This window comes from Homo sapiens, chromosome 20 (assembly GCF_000001405.40).
Source record: "Homo sapiens chromosome 20, GRCh38.p14 Primary Assembly".
NCBI classification, from domain to species: domain Eukaryota; kingdom Metazoa; phylum Chordata; class Mammalia; order Primates; family Hominidae; genus Homo; species Homo sapiens.
The window spans coordinates 37,454,907-37,459,068 of NC_000020.11; positions in this window are offsets into that span (position 1 = coordinate 37,454,907).

Sequence of the window (4,162 nt, forward strand, 5' to 3'; positions counted from 1 at the left end):
CTTTGATCATTTTGAGGCTTATTTTTAAGCTCTTTTAGGGTGGGTCCACAGTAGCCTTCACTTATGGGATAGTTCCTAACCTGTGTGACTTCTAGGAATTGTTCAAATTAAAATGCTTCAGTCTTTCTTTGCCTGGCCTCAGGGAATTTCACCCTACACACCTGAAGCCTTGCACATGGCAGTGATTCAAGAGGACACATGTAGATTTCTGGAGCTGTTTTTCTTCCTTCAGTCAGGTACTCTGCCCCTCAACTTACAGCCACCTAAGCCTACCTGAACTTTGTTCTTGGTCTCAAAGATCAACTCAGCAATACTGCTGGACTCTATTTGAATTTCCCCTCCCTGCACCTAAGATGCCTCCAGACAGAAAGCTGGGTGAACTGTAGAGCTAACTTGATTTGCTTACCTTTCTTCAGGGATCACTGTCTTATGCTACTGCCTGTTGTTCAATGTCTGCAAACAATTGTTTCCAATGTTTTGCCTAGTTTTTTTTTCTAATTTTCATAAAGCTCTTTATTGGTTAGTAGAGACATTGGGAGTCATGATCCCACCTTAGAGCCTTTGCACTTGGTTCCCTCTACCTGGAACGCTTCCCCCAGATATCCACGTGGCCAACTTGCTCACTTCACAAGTGCTCATGTTACCCTCTCAGTGAACCCTTCCCTAACCACCTGCTATGGACTGAATGTTTGCGTTTTCCCAAAAGTCAGGTGTTGAAGCCTTAATGCCCAGTGTAGTGGTATTTGGAAGTGGGCCTTTGGGAAGTGATTAGGTTTTGATGAGGTCATGAGGGTTAAGCCTCCATGATGGGATTAGTTCCCTTAAAAGAAGAGGAAGAGAGGACCAGATCCCTCTCTCTGTGTCATGTGAGGATACAGCAAGAAAGCTTTCATCTGCAAACTAGGAACAGGGCCCTCACCAGACACCAAATACGCTGGCACCTTGATCTTGGACTTCCCAGCCTCCAGAACGACGAAAAATAAATATTGCTTAAACCATCCAGTAGATGGTATTTTGTTATAGCAGCCTGAGATAAGATATCACTTTACTTAGAATTGAAACTACCTCAACTTGTAATGCCCCATTACCTTGTGTATTTCTCTCTATGTATATATTTACTGTCTATAAAATTAATTGCCTGTCTTCGTCCCCTAACCTCCTTCTGCTCTATACCTGTCTTTTTTCCATTAACATGGAAGCTTGATGAGGGCAGAGAATTTTGTCTGTTTATTCACTGCTGCATCCCCAGTGCACAGTGGGGATAGTTCGGCTTGACTGTGGGGCTCACAGGGATTTAAGTTGAGCAGCGTTTCTGTAGGTGCCCAACACATCCTGGAGCAACTGCTGGTGCTGGCTGAGGTTAGGATGGGGAAGGGGTAGAAAGGCCTGTTCAGGGCCTAAGCAGCTCACCATCCATTCACAGTTATGCTCAGAATCTCATTCTCTACCTACACCTACCACCTCTGACATAAGACAATGTCTGGCCTCCTTGCCCCAGCACAGGCTTCTTCCTCTGCCCAGAGTACAACTCCCTGGCTCAGCTATGTGGCACAGACACCTAGCTTCAGAGTCTCCACCTGTATGAAGTGTTCTGTGAATCTTGTGACTTCCAATCCCTTCTTCACTCTGGGACCAAGAAAATTCTTTCTAAATGCCTTATTCTATTCAGGCTTCTATAACAAATTACCATAGACTGGGTGGTTTACAAGCAACAAATATTTATTTCTCAAAGTTCTGGAGGCTGGGAAGTCCAAGGTCACAGCACCAGCAGATCTGGTGTCTGATGAAGGCTCTCTGGTCCATAGACAGTGCCTTTCAGCTGTGTCCTTACATGGTGCAAGGGCTGAGGAGTCTCTCTCAGGCCACTTTTTAAGAAAATCATTCATTTTTCTTTCCAACTTTTATTTTACATTCATGGGGTACATGTGCAGATTTGGTATATAGGTAAATTGCATGTCTCGGGGCATTAGTGTGCAGATTATTTTATTACCCAGGTAATAAGCATAGTACCTGATAGGTAGTTTTTCCATCATCACCCTCTTCCCACCCTCCACCCTCAAGTAGGCCTCTATGTTATTGCTCCCTTCTTTGTGTCCATGTGTACTCAATGTTTAGCTCCCACTTATAAGTGAGAAAATGCAGTATTTGGTTTTCTGCTCATGCATTAATTCACTTAGGATAATGGCCTCCAGCCCCATGTACGTTGCTGCAACGGACAAGATATTGTCCTTTTTTATGGCTGCATAGTATTCCATGGTGTATATTTACCACATTTTTCTTTATCTAGTCCACTGTTGATGGGCATTGAGGTTGATTCCAGGTCTTTGCTATTGTGAATAGTGCTATGATGAACATGTATGTGTCTTTATGATAGAATGATTTTATTCCTTTGGGTATATACCCAGTAATGGGATTGCTAGGTCAGATATTAGTTCTATTATAAGTTCTTTGAGAAATCTCCAAACTGCTCTCCACAGTGGCTGAACTAGTTTACATTCTCACCAGCAGTGTATAAGCATTCACTTTTCTCTGCAACCTCACCAGCATCTGTTATTTTTTGACTTTTTAATAATAGCCATTCTGCCCAGTGTGAGATGGTATTGCACCATGGTTTTGATTTCCATTTCTCTAATGATCAGTGATGTGGAACATTTTTTCATATGCTTGTTGGCCACATGTATGTCTTCTTTTAAGAAGTATCTGTTCATATCCTTTGCCCGTTTTTTAATGGACTTGTTTGTTTTTTTCCTCAGGCCCCTTTTACAACGGCACTAATCCCATTCATAAGAGTAGAGTCCTCATGACTTAATCATCCCCCAAGGGCCCCACCTCCTAATACCATCACCTGCAGATTAGGATTTCAACGTATGAATTTTGTGGGGGGACATAAACATTCAGACCATAGCACTAATCCCAGAACGTTCTATGTCATTTCCTCTCTCTAACGCCTTCCACTGCACCCCATTGCTCCTGTGAGAAATATCAGATTCCTCAAGTTGGTGTATCATCTTTTACAACATAACAACAAATTACGCCCATGCAATCAGCTTAACATGACAAAATCATTTTCTCACAGTTTCCGAGGTCAAAATTCTTTGAGCAGCCTGGTTGAGTGTTTCTGGCTCAGGTTTTCTCATGAGATGTAGTCAGGCTGACAGCTGGGGCTGCTGCATCCTGAAGGCTTCAACTGGGGCTAAGGATCTGCTTCCAAGATGGCTCCCTCCCAGGGCTGTTGGCAGGAGGCCTCATTTCCTTACCACATGGGCTTTCCACAGGGTTGCCTGAGTGTTCTTACATGGCAGCTGGATTCCCCCAGAGAGAGTGATGACAAAGAAAGGTAAGGAGGGGAAGAGGGTGGGGAGGGAGAGGGGACACTGGGGAGCCACAGTGACTTTTATGACCTAGTTTCTGAGGCTGTACATCATCACCTCCACTTTATTTTATTCACTAGTGACTTATTAAGTCTAGCCTACATTCAGGGGAAAGGAATTAAGCTCTATCTCTTAAAGGTAAGAGTACCAAAGGATTTGTGGACATACCTAGCTACTTGGGAGGCCGAGACAGGAGAATGGCTTGAACCCGGGAGGTGGAGCCTGCAGTGAGCTGAGATTATGCCACTGCACTCCAGCCTGGGCAAAAGAGCGAGACTCGGTCTCAAAAAGAAAAAAGAAAAAAAAATTGTGGACGTACATTAAAAGCACTATAGTCTTCCCTCTGACCACAAATTATTTACATTCTTCTAACATGCAAAATACAGTCCACCCTCCGAAGGACCCTGAAGTCTCATACTGGTACAGTATGAGCTTGAACTCAAGACTTTTGTCATCTAAACCATATGCAGGTGTGGGTGAGTCTCCTTGGGAGTGGTTCCCTAAGCATATCCCCAGCAATACACTCCCTCTCAATGAGTAAACCTGTGAATCCCAAGAGGTGAGTTACCTATCTACCCCTCAACCCCACTCGGCACCCAGTATACAATGGTGGAATAGGTATAGGATAATCGTTCAGAACCAGGGGAAATGGGAAGCACAGATAAGTCGCTGGTCCATAGTAATTCTGAAATCTAGCTGGGGAAATGTTGAAGGGTTAGGACTTATGCTACTCTGGCTCAGAAATAATTTTCCAAGGGGTTCTGCTCTTTCTGTCTCCTTCTAGGTTCTTG